At 38.2% G+C, this 19,485-nt stretch overlaps 1 pseudogene; it reads right to left on the reverse strand.

The window, feature by feature from the left end:
• GPCPD1P1 (GPCPD1 pseudogene 1) lies at nt 6,235–9,982 on the reverse strand (annotated as a pseudogene).

Consider the following 19,485-nt stretch of genomic DNA (forward strand, 5'->3'; position numbering starts at 1 on the left):
GTCTGTTGGTGAGATTTGGGCTCTCGTGCATTGATTTAGTCCACTGTTGTGACTGACTTGCATAGTTGAACTCAAACCCACAAGAGGTGTTGACTCTTATACCTTTAGCAGGAAAATGTCCCGGATTGTGAATTTCTGCTATTGACCGGGTCCAGGTATGAGTTTCATTGCTGTTTCTGTGAGCTGGGTTAAAAAATGAGTCACTATCTCACCTGTAGCTGCATCTATATATGACAGTCACAATTCCAAGTCTGGATTGCATTTGAGTGTGAGATTTAGGACCTCACCAGTGAGAACTGTCTATGTGTGAGGGTGACAATTCTATCAGATGGATGTGCATATGAGAGTCACAATCTCACCTTCGTTCTGGGTCCTGTTATGACACTGTATCATTTGAGGGCTTTATACAATATGCCTTGATATCATAATACACTATGACCTTTATTTAAGTAGGAGACCCAGGACCTTATCTGTTGCCCTAAGCCTAGATATCAGAGTCAAAATCTGTTCTCTTAGCTGGATCCAGGTATGAGAGTCATCATCTCACCTGTGAGCTGTGACCATGTATATGTCGCAATTTCACCTGTCATCAGGAAGCAGACATGAGAGTCCTATCACCTGGGTGCTGGGTAAGTGATATGCCACAATTCTTACTTGGGCAGGGTCCAGGCAACAGAGGAGAGACACATCACCTATATGACTGGCCCAGCAATGAGTGAAAATCCTCTTTCAGTGCAGGGCCTATTCAGGAGAGTCATATCACCTAGCTGCTTGGCCAAGCAATATATCACAATGCCCCCTTTGCACAGGGCCAAGACAGGACAGTTACATCACCAGGGAGCTGGGTCCAGCTACGTGTCACAATTCCTTTTGTGGAAAGTGTCCAGGCAGAAAAGCAGAGTCACATCACCTAGGCCCAGAGAGACGCCACAATGCCATTTGTGGGCTGGGCCCTGGGAGAAGAATAACATCACCCAGTGCTGGGCCCAGCAATATGTTGTGATCCCAACTAGAAAAAGGTTCCAGACAAGAGAGGAGAATCACATCATCATGTTGATAAGCCAAGAGATATTTACAATCCCCCCTGTGCACATGTCCCAGGCAGAAGACTTGAATTACCTTTTTACTTAGACCAGTAATGTCACAGTGCTTCTTCAGGGCAGGGCACAAACAAGACAGGACAGTCACATCATTAAGTACTAGGCTTAGTGATATGTCGTAACTTCACCTGTGGGCAGGGTCCAGGCAGGAGAAGATTTACTTCACCTAGGTGCTCAGTAAAGAGATACATTACAATACCTTTCAGGGAAGTAGCCAGGCAATATAGTCACAGTACCTTGGTACTTGGCCCAGGTATAACTCATAAGATATCTGTGTGTTGAGCCCAGAAGGACTATCAAATTACTAAGGTTCTAGGTAGAAGTGCGTGTCACAATTAAACTTGAAGGAAGGCCCAGGAATGAGACTCCCAATTCCACACATTTCCCCACTCCGGGTGTAAGATTCAACCATTCCTGAGACTTAGGTCCAAGTACATGAGTCACAATCTCAACAGTGGATTGCATCCTCTCATGAGAGCCCCAATTTCTTCTCCAAGCTGTGTCCCAGTAGGGGAGTCACAACCTCAGTGCTGTGCTGAATCCTGGTTGGAGAGTCCCCACTTCACCTGTGGACTGGATCCGTATATGAGAGTCTCAATTCCAACTCTTGACTGCCCCTGGGTGTGAGATTCAGAACCTCAATTGTGACTTGTGTACACTTGGGCATGTGACAATTTCTACTTTTGGCTGTGTGTTCATACAGGACTCTCAATCTCACCTGTGTTCTGGGCCCTGTTATGAGACTTTCTCTACTCTACCACCCACGGGGTTTATTCAATATGCATGGGTGTCATAATCATCTGTGATTTTCATACGAGTAGAAGACCCAGGACCTTACCCATGGCCCTAGTCCTATTTATGAGAGTCAAAATCTCTCTCTTTGGCTGTGCCTATGTGTAAGAGTTATTACAATGCCTGTAAGCTGGGTCAAAGTATATGTCACCATCTCAGCTGTGGGGATGCACGGGCAGGTGCAGTGAGAGTTGAGATGGGAGGAGGGTTGTGATGTCCTCTGTCAGAATGTAATTGTTATTGTTTTGGGGCTGTTTTTAGATATTGTCAAATAAAATAAATTTAGATGTAGGTAAGAAGTAACTTTATTCTAAAGTAATGTTGTGGCTGGGCACGGTGTCCCACACCTGTAATCTTAGCACTTTGGGAGGCCAAGGCAGGTGGATCACTTGAGGTCAGGAGTTCAAGACCAGCCTGGTCAACATGGTGAAACCCTGTCTCTACTAAGAATACAAAAATTAGCTGGGTGTGGTTGCGGGCACCTGTAATACCAGCTACTCGGGAGGCGGAGGCAGGAGTATTGCTTGAACCTGGGAGGCGGAAGTTGCAGTGAGCCGATATCACACCACTGCACTCCAGCCTAGGTGACAGAGTGAGACTCTGTCTCAAATAAAATTAATAAATAAAGTAGTGTTGCAATGGGGGGAAGCACCAAATATAATATCTGCAAACGTCTCAAAAGTTAGGCTGAAAAGGGCTGTCATTCATATGGAGGAGCAAGCAAGATTAGAAAGAAGGTGGGAGAGGAGGGCAGAATGGAGGGTGGCAAAATCAACGCAAGATTAGAGAATGTTGCACCCTGAAGTCAGCCTGTTCTTGGGAGGGACATCAAGAGGGGTTGTATGTTTGCTCAGACTGGAGGTGGGGCAGAGTCCAGGGGTCTGGGGGAAAGAGAGAAACTTAAGCAAAGTTTGCTTAACAAATATTTTATTCTGAATCCTGAAGACAAAATTATTTAAATGTGTGTGAAGAACAATGGGAATGTGGAGTCTGTGAATCTGTGATATCTAAAAGTGGGCATATCATCTCAGTCATAATGGTAAGGATCTTTCTTTGCAGTAAGCTGTTCTTACGGAACACAAAGCATTAGGGAGTTTTCTTAATTGTAACTATTTACCAGGACGCACTACCCACCCCGTCTTTCTCTCCCACTTACTTTTCTGTGCTCTATACATTTTTTTCCAGTTGTCATTTCCTGAATTGTATTCTTTATAGTAACCTGGTAAACATAGGTAGAGTGTTTTGCCAAGTTCTGTGAGTAGTTTTCTCAAATTATTAAACTTCAGGGAGAAATTTATGAAATCCCATGATTTATACATACCTGCTTAGGGGTATAGATGGGCCCCTGGTGCTTGTCCCTGGCATGTGCATTGGGGACTATATTGAGGAACTGAGTCCTGAAGTGGTCGGGTCATGGTGACTCTGGATTCTGTCAGAATTGAGTTGTTGAACATCCAGTTGGTGTTGAAGAGTTGGCTGGTGTTCAGCAAATGCCAGATATTTGGTGTGAGAACAAAGACATCACAGCAGCCTTGGTTGGAGGGAGACTGTGGGTCTTTTGGGGAATGGAGACTCTATTCTTCTGCACACAAGCTGTTGCGCTGTGAATTGTCCTGTGATTCCAGGTCTCATCCGGGTTCAGAGGAAACTGAGAACTCAAAGGAAAGCAACTCTGAGGACAGGCTCCTGTCCCCACCCTGTTGCTAGAAAGTGATTCCTGCACACTCACACCCATGCACACTGGGCAGTGATGTAGCCACACTCCTCCCATGACAAGGCTTCACCCTCAGAAATTGTGCTGAGAGAACTTCTCCTTCTAGAGTTTTCTGCCAATAGGCTATGTAAGTGCCGAGAGGACTCATGGCTTATTTTTATGCCCAGATCTTGAATCTGCACCAGTGACCCATTTTCTCCACTAGCCTAGGCTTCTGGGTCATCCATCCCTCCCATCTGCCTGCATGCACACATTTATAAGTCAGAGCTACCCTGTCTGGACCAGTGTCCGTAGCACTAGCCAGTCTTTTCACCAACTGGGTACTGTTCCCTACCCATAGGTTTTTTTCCTTTCCTTTCCTTTCGTTTCATTTCCTTCCCTTCCCTTCCCTTCCTTTCCTTTTCCCTTTCCCTTTTCTTTCTTTCTTTTCCTTTATTTCCTTTCTTTCTTTCCCTCCCTTTCTTTTCCTTTCTTTCTTTCCCTCCCTCTTTCTTTCTTTCTCTTCCTTTCTTTCCCTCCCTCTTTCTTTCTTTCTTTTTCTTTCTTTTTCTCTTTCTTTCTTTTTTCTTTCTTTCTTTCCTTCCTTCCTTTTCTTTCTCTTTCTTTCTTTCTTTCCTTTTCTTTCTTTCTTTTTTTATTTTTTTGAAACAGAGTTTTGTTGTTTTCACCTAGGATGGAGTGCAGTGGCAGGATCTCGGCTCACTGCAGGCTCTTCCTCCCAAGTTCAAAAGATCCTCTTGCATCAGCCTCCCAAGTAGCTGGGATTACAGGTGCCACCACCATGCCCAGCTCATTTTTGTATTTTTAGTAGAGATGAGATTTCACCATGCTGGATAAGCTGGTCTCGAACTCTTGACCTTAGGTGATCCACCCGCCTCGGCCTCCACAAAGTGCTGGGATTACAGGAATAAGCCACTGCGCCCAGCCCCCATAGGTTTTTTTTTTTTATAACACCTTCTCTTATTCTGTCTTCTTCTTTTCCACAAACACTCTTTCACAAACACAAGGCCACACCTCTGATGCCTAAATACAAACCCTACTGGAAATCATATGTCCATGAGTTCAGGATAAATTTTTTGGACCTGCTTATTGTAAGCATAAATACAAAATAAAGACAAGACACTTAATCATTCAACTAAAAAATAAAAATGGGAATTTACTCTTCTTTTTTTCTTAAAATGTTAAATACCTTTTACATGTAAATTCTTTCTCTGCTTTTTATCTTTTTTCTTGTCTTTTCAATATTTATGAAATCTATTTCTGTTCTAATTTTATTATTTTTTCTTTTTCTTTTATTTATTTTTATTATTTATTTATTTATTTATTTTGAGACAGAGTTTTGCTTTTGACACCCAGGCTGGAGTACAGTGGTGCAATCTCGGCTTATGGCCACCTCCGCCTCCTGGGTTCAAACGATGCTTCTGCCTCAGCCTCCTGAGTAGCTGGAATTACAGGCGCCTGCCACCACACCTGGCTAATTTTTGCATTTTTAGTAGAGACGGGGTTTCACCATGTTTCCAGGCTGGTCTCGAACTCCTGACTTCAGGTGATCTGCCCACCTCAGCCTCCCAAAGTGCTGGGATTACCGGCGTGAGCCACCGAGCCCGGCCTGTTATTTTCCTTATTTTGCTAACATTGGGATTATTTATTTGTTCTTTTTCAAGTATTTTGTGAATTAAAGTTATGTTTTCTATTTGACATCTTTTCCTTTTTGTTAATATAGAAATATAGCATTATAAACTTCTGATTTAGAACGGTTTTGTGGGTTTTTTTTATTGTATGTTGTTTCTATTTTCTTTTTTCTCATTATACTTTCTGATTTCCCTTTGCTTTTTCTCTTTGACCCATTGGTTGTCCAGGAACATGTTGTTTACTGCCCACATATTTGTGAGTTTTAAAATTTTTCTTGGGCTATTGATTTCTAGTTTTATTAAATTGTAATTTTAAAAACTGATATGGCTGGGTGCAGTGACTCCTGCCTGTAATCCCAGCACTTTGGGAGGCCTAGGCAGTTGGATTACCTGAGGTCAGGAGATTGAGACCAGACTGACCAACATTGGTGAAGCCCCGTCTTTACTAAAAATACAAAATTAGCTGGGCATGGTGTTGCATGCCTGTAATCTCAGCTACTTGGGAGGCTGAGGCAGGAGAATTGCTTGAATCCGGGAGGTGGAGGTTGTAATGAGCTCGGATCACAACATTGCACTCCGGCCTGGTTGACAGAGCGAGACTCCATCTCAAAAACAAAAAACAAAAAGAAGTTGCTATAATTTTAATCTTTTTAAATTTGAATAGAGCTTGTTGTTTTTGTTGGCCCAAGATATGGTCTATCATGGATAATGTTCCATTTGTGCTTGATAAGAATGTGTATTCTCATACTGCTACATGAAATAGTCTACATATGTCCGGGGTTTGCAGTGTTCCTCAGCGCTATCCAAGCACATTGTTTTCTTTCTAGTTTTCTGTCTGAATAATCTATTGTTTTCAGTAGAGTAACAAAGTCCTCTATTATTGTCATATTTGTTTTTTCTAAAGTTCTGTTTATATATGTTTATATATTTATGTTCTCCAATATTGGGTGCATATATTTTTTAATTGTTATATCCTCTTGACAAATTATCCTCTTTTTTTCATTTTGTAATGAAAACAAAATCTGTATTATTTTATTTAATATTCATTCTTAAGTTACAGTTAACACAATCTGCTTCTAATCCAAGAAATCCTAGTATAATGTGAAACACATGCATATACATTTAGTAAGACCTTCTACATTTCTAAATAAATTACATGCATGATATACAATAAAGAATACTAATATGAGAATTCAGTACATTTATTTTTCTGCATGGAAATTTAACTACTGTTCCAGACACACATACACAAAAAAACCCACAAAGCAACAGTGTGTAATAGGTAGTGAGACACACAAAATAAGCATATTTAAAATGCCTACAGCCATTTTTTTTAAGGCAACAAAATATGTCCAGTCCTTGACATCTTCTCATACTCATTTAGCACCATGGATGCAAGGACCTAACAGTAAACATGTACAACCTCATGCTTAACAGTTAAAGCATGCACTGAATTGAATTTATATGTTGTGATCTATTCTACTAAGTATGCAATACATACTTTTTCTTACTAATATTTTATACATTAAATTACCCTGCAGCATCTTGAAATTTTAATATCGATGTAAAACAACTTTTGAAAGATTTATGAAACAAGTTTCAAGGTTCACCTTCAGGCTGGTTTGATTAAGTGGAAAAATGGCAGCAGCCTCAAGGTTCATACTGAAAGAAAATGCTGTTATGTGCATGTCAACCCATGTAAAAAATACCTATATACAAGAAGGCACAAAGATTTGTGCAGTTGGAATCACCAGTGCAAATGCATGCATTTGAGGTACTTATTTTTTCCATGGTCAGGTATAATTACGCATAGTCATTTTCCTTAAGTGCTAAAGATTTCAGACCTGATCAAACGAAAAGCTGTAAGTGTAATATGAGCTATTTATATATTTAATTTCAAAGTGCTATGCTTTTAATGAACATTTAACATTATAGATTTATATATTTAGTTTAAAATATTTATATTACCAACCAATACATTTTCTCACTGTAAAGAGACTGACTGGCAATTACACCTGGCTAAGTAATTTAAATAGCATACTTGCAAGAACTATAGTGAAAGAGTTAAATACTTCATTATTGTTTCGTTGAAATGAGAAGCCCAAAAGGCATAGATCAACGATGCTCAATGATGAAAAATGAATACCCAGAACAGCGGTGCATGCCCCCAAAATGACCTCTGTGCAATAAAAACTAAGTATTCTCCACATTATCAATGCCATTGGCATCCACATGGGTATCAGGCTCCTCACACAAAGATGAGGGAACAAAGTGGCTAACAGTGGGACACAAACAGCCCTTACACTCTGGCAATTCTTGCTTCAGGCATTCCAGTTGCTCCACTTGGTTGTTCAGGCATCCAATCATATATCCTATCATAAAATAGACCATTAACTCCAAGTTCCATCAATTTTCTTCTCTTTTCAGGATCACTGCTTTCATCACCCCAGCAGAATATGATTAGTCCCTTAGCTTTTGCCTCTTGAATATAGGATGGGTTTCTGAGCAAGTCTTCAGTATGTACATTTATTTCCAGTAGATTTTCTTTTCTTTCTTTTTTTTTTAGACGAAGTTTCGCTCTTGTTTCCCAGGCCGGAGCACAATGGTGTGATCTCGACTCACTGCAACCTCCGCCTCCCGGATTCAAGCGATTCTCCTGCCTCAGCCTGCCGAGTAGCTGGGATTACAGGTGCCCACCACGGTGCCCAGCTAATTTTTGTATATTTAGTAGAGACTGGGTTTCACCATGTTGACTAAGCTGATCTTGAACTTCTGACCTCAGGTGATCCACCCTCCTCGGCCTCCCAAAGTGCTGGGGTTACAGGCGCGAGCCACCGCACCCAGCCTATCCCTAGTAGATTTTCAAACTGTGCAAAGCTCATTGCAATGGGGGTTGTCGGAGATCTGAGGTCCATGAGTTCAGGATAAATCTCAGATTTTCCTTCAGTTAAAAATAATATGGGATATTTGTTCTGCCTTTGCCAAACCATTGTGCAAATATCTGCATCAAATGAAGAAAACACTATTCTCTCTTCCCAGAATTTTCTAAAACAGTTTTTAAAGTTATATCCAAAAACAGATTCATGCCAAAATATGTTGATAAGTTACCATCCCACATTCCATCCCTTTGCTGGCAGATCCATTTTATTTCAATGTTAAACCCTACATCTTCTGGCAAACACTCTAAAACCATCTTACGAGAAGGAAATGCCTGATTTTCTGAAAAGGAATTTTCCTCCTGGACCACAGATTCTTTCCAATCCTTAGATTTCAGTGCAGTCACATGAGTGAGCTTTAACAACTGGAGATGGTCAAATGTTAATTTTTTTTACTGGAATTTCAAATAATTCAACTGGATCAGCATCAAATTTCTTTTTCATAGTCAAACAACAGGTAAGATCATGATATACCATGGGCACAAAGTCCTTTGAAAGGTGTACATCAAATTCTACAAAGGCTGCACCGTGACTAGCAGCATTTCTTAAAGAAGCAATAGTATTTTCTTTAGCCAGCTGGGCAGTTGTAGCGTTTCCCACACCTCGATGGCCAACATCCAATGGTATTCTTGGCTTCCAATACTGGAAAATGAAGATTTCATGTCACAACTGTATCCTGGCAATGGCTTAATAATTATATAGTCAACTCTCACTTTGCCTATTGTTTTCCTGGAATTTCTGCTCATGATGGGAAGAGTAAGAATTCCAGCACTCTTTCCACTCTCAGCAATGGTGGATGATAAGAGACAAGCTGTACCCACACATCCAGGGAGGGCATCACCTTGAACTATGTGCTCACTGAGATCTTCTTCAAAAAAATCAAAGATTAGTTCCAGGTTATCTGGTCCCATTGTCTGTATGCTGTACTCTGTCCAACGATCAGACTGTAAGCCATAACCACACTCCAGCTGTGAATGCCTGCACTGGAACTCATTGTCACATATTAAGGATATCTCCATGCTATTGGACATTTTGTGAAGTACAGTGGGAGATACCCTATCATCCTCATCTTCCTCCAGGCCCTCTAGTGTCAGCTTCACCCTAAATCTAGATTTTTAAAATTTTTTCTTGGTTATTGACACAGGAGGTTTTTCAGAATAATGCAATCGTAATCTTATTTCAGTCTGACATGCCAGCCATGCAGAATCCAGAGTTTCAACACCACTGTGGATTCCAAATTGTCCATGGTCAATAACAATTTCACTTTCTAACGGGGTTATTGATCGTGGTTGTAGATGAGTCTCCCACTTGTGAACTATCACTTGACATGGACCACCGATAGTCTTTGGTTCTAAAAAGTACCCTTTGAAGTAGCAATGCTGAACTGATACTCCTCTACTGAGTACAATGGTTGCTTTCCATAACATGCTGGCTCTGCTAAGACAGGTTTTAGGGCATTGCCCTCATTCTGATACAATCTTAGCTTCTTCCACCTGTCTCATTCTCTGGAAGAAGAGCCACAGCATTTTGAGGATTCCAGTTTCCCAAAGCATCACAGCTTCCACATATTGCAAAAACTTCTGGTAAAAGAGTTCCTCTTATTTCAAAGGTAACCTGAGAAGGTGTCATTCTGATGGGTTTATTTTATGATGTCGTGCTGCCGGGTTCGCTAGTCCACGGGTCCGCGTTGCCGCCCCGCCCGAGAGAGAGTACCGCGGGCAGAGGTATCGGACCCCCGCTGTCGGTGCCTCGCCAGCGCTCCCCAGGGCGGCCAGTCGCGGCAGGAAGCGGCTACGCTCAAACCAGTTTCAGCTGCTCCAGACCAAACTGCCAGGCCACCCTGTGGGGCGGGGCCGGAGGGCCAAATTATCCTCTTTTTATTATAGAGTGATCTTTGTCTCTTGGGACAGATTTTTTTCTAAAAGTCTGTTTTTTTCTGATATAAATATAGCCACACTTACACTCGTTCAATTATTATTGGTATGGGTTTTTAAAATTCTTTAACCATTAACCTATGTGTGCCCTTAAATCTAAAATAAGTCACCTGTGTGAAGCATACTGTTGATCCTTAAAATCTATTTAGACATTCTGTGAATCTTTTCATTTTCTGCTTTAATAACAGAATATTCTAGAGTTGGTATTGTATAAAGAATAGAAGTTTACTTAGCTCACAATTTTAGATTATGGAAGTCCAAGACCAACCCATTGACATCTGATGAGAATCATATTTCCACATCACAAAATGGCCAAAGGCATAAGAATTACAGAAGGTGTGCACCAGAGAGCCAGAGAGCTTACTTTTTTTTTTTTTTTTTTTTTTTTTGAGACAGAGTCTTGCTCTGTTGCCCAGGCTGGAGTGCAGTGTCACGATCTCGGCTCACTGCAAGCTCTGCCTCCCGGGTTCATGACATTCTCCTGCCTCAGCCTCCCGAGTAGCTGGAACTACAGGCGCCCGCCACCACACCCTGCTAATTTTTTTTGTGTTTTTAGTAGAGATGGGATTTCACCATGTTAGCCACAATGGTCTCGATCTCCTGACCTCGTGATCCACCCGCCTCGGCCTCCCAAAGTGCTAGAATTACAGGCCTGAGCCACCACGCCCGGCCTTTTTTTGTTTTGAGTTGTTGCCCAGGCTGGAGTGCAATGGCGTGATCTCCGCTCACTGTAATCTTTGCCTCTTGTGTTCAAGCGATTCTCCTGCCTCAGCCTCCCGTGTGGCTGGAATTACAGGCCTGCGCCACCACGCATGGCTAATGTGGTGGCTAATTTTGTTTTTTTAGTAGAGATGGGGGTTTCTCCATGTTTGTCAGGCTGGTCTCGAACTCCCGACCTCAGGTGATCTGCCCGCCTCAGCCTCCCCAAGTGTTGGGATTACAGGCGTGAGCCACGACTCCCAGCCTCTTGATTCCTTTTTGTGTATATACTACAAATTTTCTTTTAATTACCAAGAGACTTACATAAAACATCTCGTAACAGTCTAGCTTAAGATAATAACAATTGAGCCTCTATGTATAGAGACTCAACGATTTTACTCTCAATACATGATTTATATCACTTTACATTTTTATACTGTGTATCTAATAACAAATTATTTCAATTATATGTATTTTTAATACTTTTGTCTTGTAGCTTTTATCCCTGAGTTAAAAGCAATTCATCCACCACCATTACACGTATCACTAGTATTTTACTCATTTTTCTCCACCTGTAACTAAATAATGATGTAATTTAATACCAATATTTATTTTATATATAATCTCACAGTATTATAAAAATTATATATTTTTTGCTTTGCAATATTATTTTCTTGTTCATATGGCTGTATTATAGATCTTATATTTTGTGTAATAGCACCCATATATTAATAACATAACATTACCTAGTATCTTTTAAATACTTATTAATTAAAAGGTTCCACTTTCATTAGTCTTTTATTAATTCTTATAATGCATTTTTTGTGAAATTTTACTGCTATACATTGCATGCCAATAATTAAACATGCCAAAGTTCACATTTGAAAACTTAGTTATTTAAAGAATTATTTTTCTGATACATCTATGCTAATATTCAGTATTTTGTAGGTCAACATGTTTCATTTTTTAACTCCATTTTACTGCATTTTTTTCATATAGGTTTCCTTTGATTAATAAATTGTATTTTTGTTTTTAACATTATATTTATGATTTGGATGGTAATTTTTCACTCTGTATTATTTATAAAAATGTGGTGTTTAATTAAAATATAAATTGCTGGGTTTCACTTGGGGCAAATTTAAAGAAACAAGTATAAGTCAGACATTTCTTTCTTTTTTTTTTTTTTTGAGATGGAGTCTCACTCTGTCATGCCCAGGCTGGAGTGCAGTGGTGAGATCTCAGCTCACTGCAACCTCTGCTTTCTGGGTTCAAGCAATTCTCCTGCCTCAGCCTCCTGAGTAGCTAGGGCTACAGGGTGGGCCACCATGCCTGGCTAATTTTTGTATTTTTAGTAGAGACAGTGTTTCGCCATGCTGGCCAGGCTGGTCTCGAACTCCTGACCTCGTGATCCACCCGCCTCAGTCTCCCGAAGTGCTGAGATTACAGGCGTGAACCACCACGCCTGGCCCCATAAGTCAGACATGTCTATTGCCTATAAAAGTTACTTATGTGATATTTGCCTGTACAAATATTGCCCCATTTTATTAATTATCTTGTTTATTTCTTTTCTCAGGTGGTTGTGTTTCATTGCCTAGATGAGTAGTAAAAAAGGCAGTCTAAAATTACCATCTATTTATTGTTTGAATATATGTTGAGTGAGAAAAACACTTGTTATTTGAAGTAATTTTTGAAAAATATAACGTTTTGATACATATAAATATTTGTGATTAAAAACATAAAATTACTATCTTAAACATTTTAAAGTTGTACATTTCAACTATATGTTTAGTACTTTTAAGTATATTTACATTTTTTGAAAGAGATCTCTGGATCAATTTTATCTTTAAAAAGTACAATTTAATGTCCAATAAACTGTCTTCTCTCTTTTCTGCTTCTGGAGAACATCATTTTACTTTCTGTTTTGTCTGTCTCTTTTTGACTATTTTATTTCAGTCAACATATTTTTTCCCCACATCTTTAATTTTTAAAAATGTTATTCTGCTCTCAGTTCAGATTCATCAGGAAATTGAATCATATCCAGAAGAATTAAAACTGAAAGACTAATATGTTTGTTAAAGCAATGCAGATTGCCATAGTAATAAACCCTAAAATTTCAAAGGCTTAGCAAAATAATACATTTTCTGCTTACATAGACATCCCCTTTGGTTTATTTCTGGTTAAGAAAACTTCTTTGTGATTATTCGGAGATTAGATTTGTAAAAATATTCTAACTGCATTTTCCTCTTCCTTCACCCAACAGATGAAAAAAGATGCAAAGAAGACATATTTGCTTTTTATCCACACATCATTTCCAATCACTATGCTGAGCAAAGTCAATGTGAGCAGAGCTGAGAATAGCAGTTTTCTGGCAGGACGGCCACTTCTGAGCAAAAAATGACACAATAAAAGTATAAATATTTAATAGTAAGCTAATATATTTTCAGCAAATTAAGCATATGCATTAATAAAATTATTGTGGTATAATATTCATTTTGTTGATTCCTATTGCGCTCAGGTAATATCAGATAAAAAACCAGCAAATATAGAGCAAAAATAGTTATTTGAAATGGAAATATTGTGAATAAAGTTATTGTCAATTAAAGTAAAAATATTTTTATCTCCTACTAATCGTTTACCTATAGTTGTACAGTATCAAATGCTTTTTATTAACAACTGTACTTCATATAAGTATTCCATTTATATCACCCTTCTTCATGGTTTCAATGCCTTCTGCACTTCATATCAGTGAAAAACAGGCGAGCTGGTACCAGGAAATTGATGTGGTGCTATTACTACTTTAAGAGTGATGACGTGTAATCCTAGCACTTTGGGAGGCCGAGGCAGGCGGATCACGAGGTCAAGAGATCCAGACCATTCTGGCCAACATGGTGAAACCCCATCTCTACCAAAAATACAAAAAGTAACTGGGCATGGTGGCATGCGCCTGTAGTCCCAGCTACTAGGGAGGTTGAGGCAGGAGAATCGCTTCAATCTGGGAGGTGGAGGCTGCAGTGAGCCAAGATCGTGCCACTGCATTCCAGCCTGGTGACAGAGTGAGACTCCTTCTCAAAAAAAAAAAAAAAAAAAGTGATGTGATGTTGAAGAGCACTTGTCTGAATTGTTCCCATGTCGCAAACACTGTGATTTGGCCCAGAGTACACACATTTCTTATTTTCCTCTAAATTTACTGATGAAATAAAATTCTTAGCTAAGAAAGGTTTGATCTCATTCAAACATGTTTTATGAAATTTGGTTGACATTTCAGTGTCTCTGACTTAAATGGAATATTGAAAATTTCCATGAATCCAAATAGAGTGTTATACATGAACAATCTTTTATAAAAACCCATTCTGAGGCAGAGTAATATTCATAAAATTTCTTCATAATATAGAAGAAATGTGTTAACTCTGTTCCCAGTAATCAACTCTGAACACTGAGCATTCTCAGTCCCCAGTATTCACCCTGAGTCATTCAGGAAAAATTGGTATCTCTGTAAGGAGACAGGTGTTTGGGGGAAGGTCACAACATTGCACATAAATGCTTTCTACATGCACCTGTTAGGATCTTAATCTAATTGGTCTATCATTTGCCTGGCTAGACAATTACTGAATCTAGTCACATTATTTTGTTTTTTGCAGCTAATGACATCTATTACCTATAAGTTTCATACAATAACTTGCTCAGCTGAAACATGAGTCTTTTGTTAACTTACCCTAAATTGAAGGACTACATTTGCAATTTCCAATCTCTGTGTTAAGGCAAATCAGAGAAGAGTAATATGTGTATTTAACATGCATTTTCTTGCATATTAAAATTCTTCTCACATTGCATTGGACACTCTAGGCAGCCACCTAAAAAACAGTCCCTCCTAACTTTTTAGCCAGGATATCAGATTTCAAAAGCTCAAGGACTTAATAATTGGCAAAGCCAAACTCTTGTCTTTGCTTCTTGACCATTTCAAAGAGCATGGCAATTATGCCAAGCCTTTGAAAGATGTGGTTCTGATGACTTTTATTTCAAATGTTTTCTCTGATTGTTAGTCTTATTGCATTAATCTAAGAGAAACTATCTACATAACAATTTATGCATTCAAGAAATATTCATGTTAAGGTGTTCAAAGTTCAATATTCTATTACAGAATAGTAGAATTCTCTAAAATTATAACGTCAGATTATTATTAATAAATTGTTTTTTCAACATTTTCCAATGTGGAAATTAAAGAATTGGGTATGTTTTTTCATGATAAGTTCAATTCTAGGAGGGCACTCACCTGTCTGCATGGCATTTTTGTCATGAATTATGTAAAACTGAGTTACCTGAATGGTGCAGAAATGCTAATTTAATCAGAATGAGAAAGAATTCAGCCTTGTTGGTAGACTGTTGGTATCCCAGAGGCTGACCATTTACTTCGGCTGTGTAGACATTGCTTCCTAATGCCAGGGAGCCCTTGCAACCAAGTTGCCTTTATTTCCCATTCATGTGATCATGTTCTGGTCTCTGTTTTTCTTAAGCTGTCCCAGATGAGGGGTGATTATTTCTTGCATAAATGAGATCCCTTCTTTTTTCCCTGCCAAGAGATCCTCCTATTCTCCCTACTGAAAGCAACATGTTGAAGACAGAAATAGAGACAATATAAAAATATGTCCTTTGCCATGTGGCCACCATAAGCAGCTTACAATCTGGCTTACCTGGAAGTTTGACTAATTTCAGGGAAGCAGGGATGTTTTTCTATAATGTGCTCTTTCTCTTAAAAGCACCTCTGATTAAGTTTAGTCTAATCAAGATAATCTCTCTTATGATAAACAGGAAGCCAATTGATTAGTAACCTAATTACATGAATAATGTCCCGCCACAGTCACACATTTTCTCACACTAAAAGGATTACACAGCAGGTGTGCACTGAAGTGGGAACCTGAGGGTCTTCTGAGAATTTTGCCTACCCACCTGAATAGATTTCTAAAATAGCCTTTTAGTTGCTTTTGTTGTCTAAGAAAACGAAGATATCATCTGCAAATAATAATTAATTTCACTGCTTTTCAATTTTATTCATTAAAATAATGATTTTTCTGGCTTATATGAAGTTATTTCTCATTTATATTATACATTCACATACATACCTATATAACAATACAAATGTGTCCATTTTTAATTTTTGTTAAATTTTTAAGAATGGATGTTAAAGATAACTTATTTTCTGTTTGAAAGTGTTTTTATTGTTGTATTCAACAGTATTATCTCTGGAGTCAAAGTTCCTTGTGTTTTAATGCTGGCTCTGCTACTGTGAGCAGGTTATTTCTGTGGCTCTGTTTCTTTCTTTGTAAATTGAGGATAATAATAATACCTTTGTTATTAAGTTACTGAGTGTATTAGTCCATTCTCACACCGCTATGAGGGCATACCCAAGACTAGGTAAATTATAAAGGAAAGAGGTTAACTTGCCTCACAGTTCAGCATGACCAGGGAGGCCTCAGGAGATTTACAATCACAATGAAAGGGAAAACAAACATGTCCTTTTTTATACGGTGGCCAGAAGAGAAAAGGTGCTGAGCAAAAGGGAGAAAAGCCCCTTATAAAACCATTAGACCTCATGCGAACTTACGCATTATCAAGACAACAGAATGAGGGTAACTCACTGCAGGATTCAATTACCTCCCACCAGGTGTCTCCCATGACACATAGAAATTATGTGAACTACAATTCATAATGAGATTTGGGTGTGGACACAGCCAGACCATATCACTGTGCGAACAAAATTTATTAACACATGTATAGTATTATGGTTAATGCTCAGTACAAATTTGCTATTATTAATGAGATATTTATATGCTGAATTATGTTAATACATGCTTTCAAACAAATATTTTTCCATTACACATTGAGTTTTCCAACCAATAGATGAATATATAAATTACAATTTTGTTCTAAATATGGTATATACATTTAGAATAATAGTATACACAATGGAACATTATGTAGCCTTAAAAGGGGGAAACACTGTCAATTGAAAAAATATGGATAAATTTAGAGGATATTTTGCTAAGTACAAAAGCCAGACACACAAAGAAAAATACTGCATGATTTCACTTATGTGTAGAATCTAATAAAGTTGAAATAACAAAGTAGAATGTGGAAAAATTGGTTATCAGAGGCTGTTGTTGATAAAAGAATGCAAAGTTTTACAGACAGGATAAAGAGGTTTTCAGATCTATTGCACAGTAGGGCGATTATAATCAATGATAATGTAGGTATATTTCAAAATAACAGTAAGTTTTAATGTCTCACCACAAAAAATGATAGGTAAGTGAGGTGATAGATGTTAGTTAACTTGACTTAATTAGTCCATATTTTATACACGTATCAAAACATTACACTGTACCACATAAATGTATACAATTTTAATTTGTCAACCAAATATCCCAGTAATACATGTGTTTTTTTTATTAACTTTAAAAAATAGGGCCAGAGAAATAAATGTTTCTTCATATCTTATAATTTCAGGAACAGTATACATGTATTTTTAATTACACATGGCTTATCACTCAATAAAATGTTAATTATCACTGTTCAGAATAATACAATGCTTGCTTTCTTTTTTTTGAGATGGAGTTTTGCTCTTGTTGCCCAGGCTGGAGCACAGTGGTGTGATCTCGGCTCACTGCATCCTCCACCTCCCAGGTTCAAGTGATTCTCCTGCCTCAGCCTCCCAAGTAGCCGGAATTACAGGCATGTCCCACCATGCTAGGCTAATTCTGTATTTTTAGTAGAGATGGGGTTTCTCAATGTTGGTCAGGCTGGTCTCAAACTCCCGACCTCAGGTGATCCGCCCGCCTCGGCCTTATGAAGTGCTGAGATTACAGGCATAAGCCACCACGCCTGGTCTTATTTGATAATAGAATACTTTCAAAGACAGACTCTAAAGCAACTGTTTAAAGTAAAATTCTCTCAAGATAAATGATTTCCTTCACTTATAGAGAAAAGTTATTTAAATATTGATTTTAAACTACCTTTAAATTTATCAAGTGAACATAAAAAATTAGTTGGCAAAAAATAATTTATTAAACAAGTAGATCAGAAAACAATTTGCCTCTTTGCCTAATTTTAAAACTGAACAACACTCAGCATTTAAGTGTTTATTATCTGGCATTTCTAGAGTGGTAAAAAGCAGTACAAGATGAGGGATCTTTCTTTAGTATTTATATTCATGCTGTATGAGAATATATGAAAATTTGCCAAGGATAATATTAAAAATATCCATCGACTATTATAGTCCCAAACTGACCAATTAAAATGAACATGGATTGAACCCCCTGGTGTGGACACCTTGTTGTTCCCAGGCTTAACATTGGTTCTGATCTAAAACACTATACAAATCACCAGAGCTAATAAATTTTCTGTACACTCACTATATGCTAGGCACTCTTCTGACACCTTTATTTGTATTAATTGCTTTAATTTTACCAAAAACCTAGGATTTAGGTAGTGTTATCCTTACTGTAAAGATGAACAGTCAAGCACAGAGACGTCAAGAAACTACCTCCAGGTCACACAGCCCATAAGTGTCAGAACCAGGATGCAATCAGAGACCACCAGATATTGAGTTTTAATATTAACCATTATGGCCAGCCCCCTCACACTCAATGTTTTTTTTTCCATTTTTTATTTAACATTTTTAGTTTGAATTTTCTAATTTAGTAGAAATGAAGCAGAATTTAAAAACAACTTTTTTGACCCTTAGATAGTATGGAGAACTTCATTTTGCATTCAAAGTACTCATAACAAAGCCTAACATAAATACTTTGGTTGGTAAACGCTTTCTAACCACGTCATTCCTCTCATTACTTAAGAGTCACTAATGATACTTTTGAAAAATAGCTTTTACACTAAGAGCTACAATGAAGCTGGGTGCAGTGGCTCAAACCTATAATCCTAGGACTTTGGGAGGCCAGGCATGTGGATTACTTGAGGTCAGGAGTTTGAGACCAGGTTGGCCAATGTATTGAAACTCCATCTCTACTAAAAACATAAAAATTAGTCGGGTGTGGTAGCAGTGACTGTAATCCCAGCTACTCGGGAGGCTGAGGCAGGAGAATCACTTGAACCTGGGAGGCAGAGCTTGCAGTGAGCCGATGTCACGCCATTGCACTCCAGCCTGAGCAAAAGAGTAAAACTCCATCTGAAAAAAAAAAAGCTAGAATAAGCCTATTATTTTATTTAAAATTTGTGATCTAAATGTACAACCTTATTCATTGAGTGCTCTAAAGTTCCTGAAAGTTTTGAAAACACTAATAAAAGAATACTTTTTCATATGGAATGATTAAAGAATATTGTTTTCTCAGTTACTAAAATGAAACAAATTAGAATTACTAATCAGTCGCTTACAATGTGGTTTTAAATGTTATTTAATGACCACATGTGTAGTTTCTTTGAGCTCATTTTAACAATTTATTTCTACTGCTTCTTCACTTCTGTTAGAAAATAATTAAAATTTATGTTACTAAATAGGTGTGAATTTTAATCTTAGTGATCATCTTAAAAGACCTTGTATACTTACGATCATAGAAACCCTTTTCACTATTTACGTTTAGAAGAGAAATAATTGCTTTGCAGTAGACCAAACAGGGCAATTGTTGCTCAAAATGATCAGTGATTCCAACATTAGTACCATCATCTAGCTAGAAC

This window comes from Homo sapiens, chromosome 7 (genome assembly GCF_000001405.40).
Source record: "Homo sapiens chromosome 7, GRCh38.p14 Primary Assembly".
Taxonomy (NCBI): domain Eukaryota; kingdom Metazoa; phylum Chordata; class Mammalia; order Primates; family Hominidae; genus Homo; species Homo sapiens.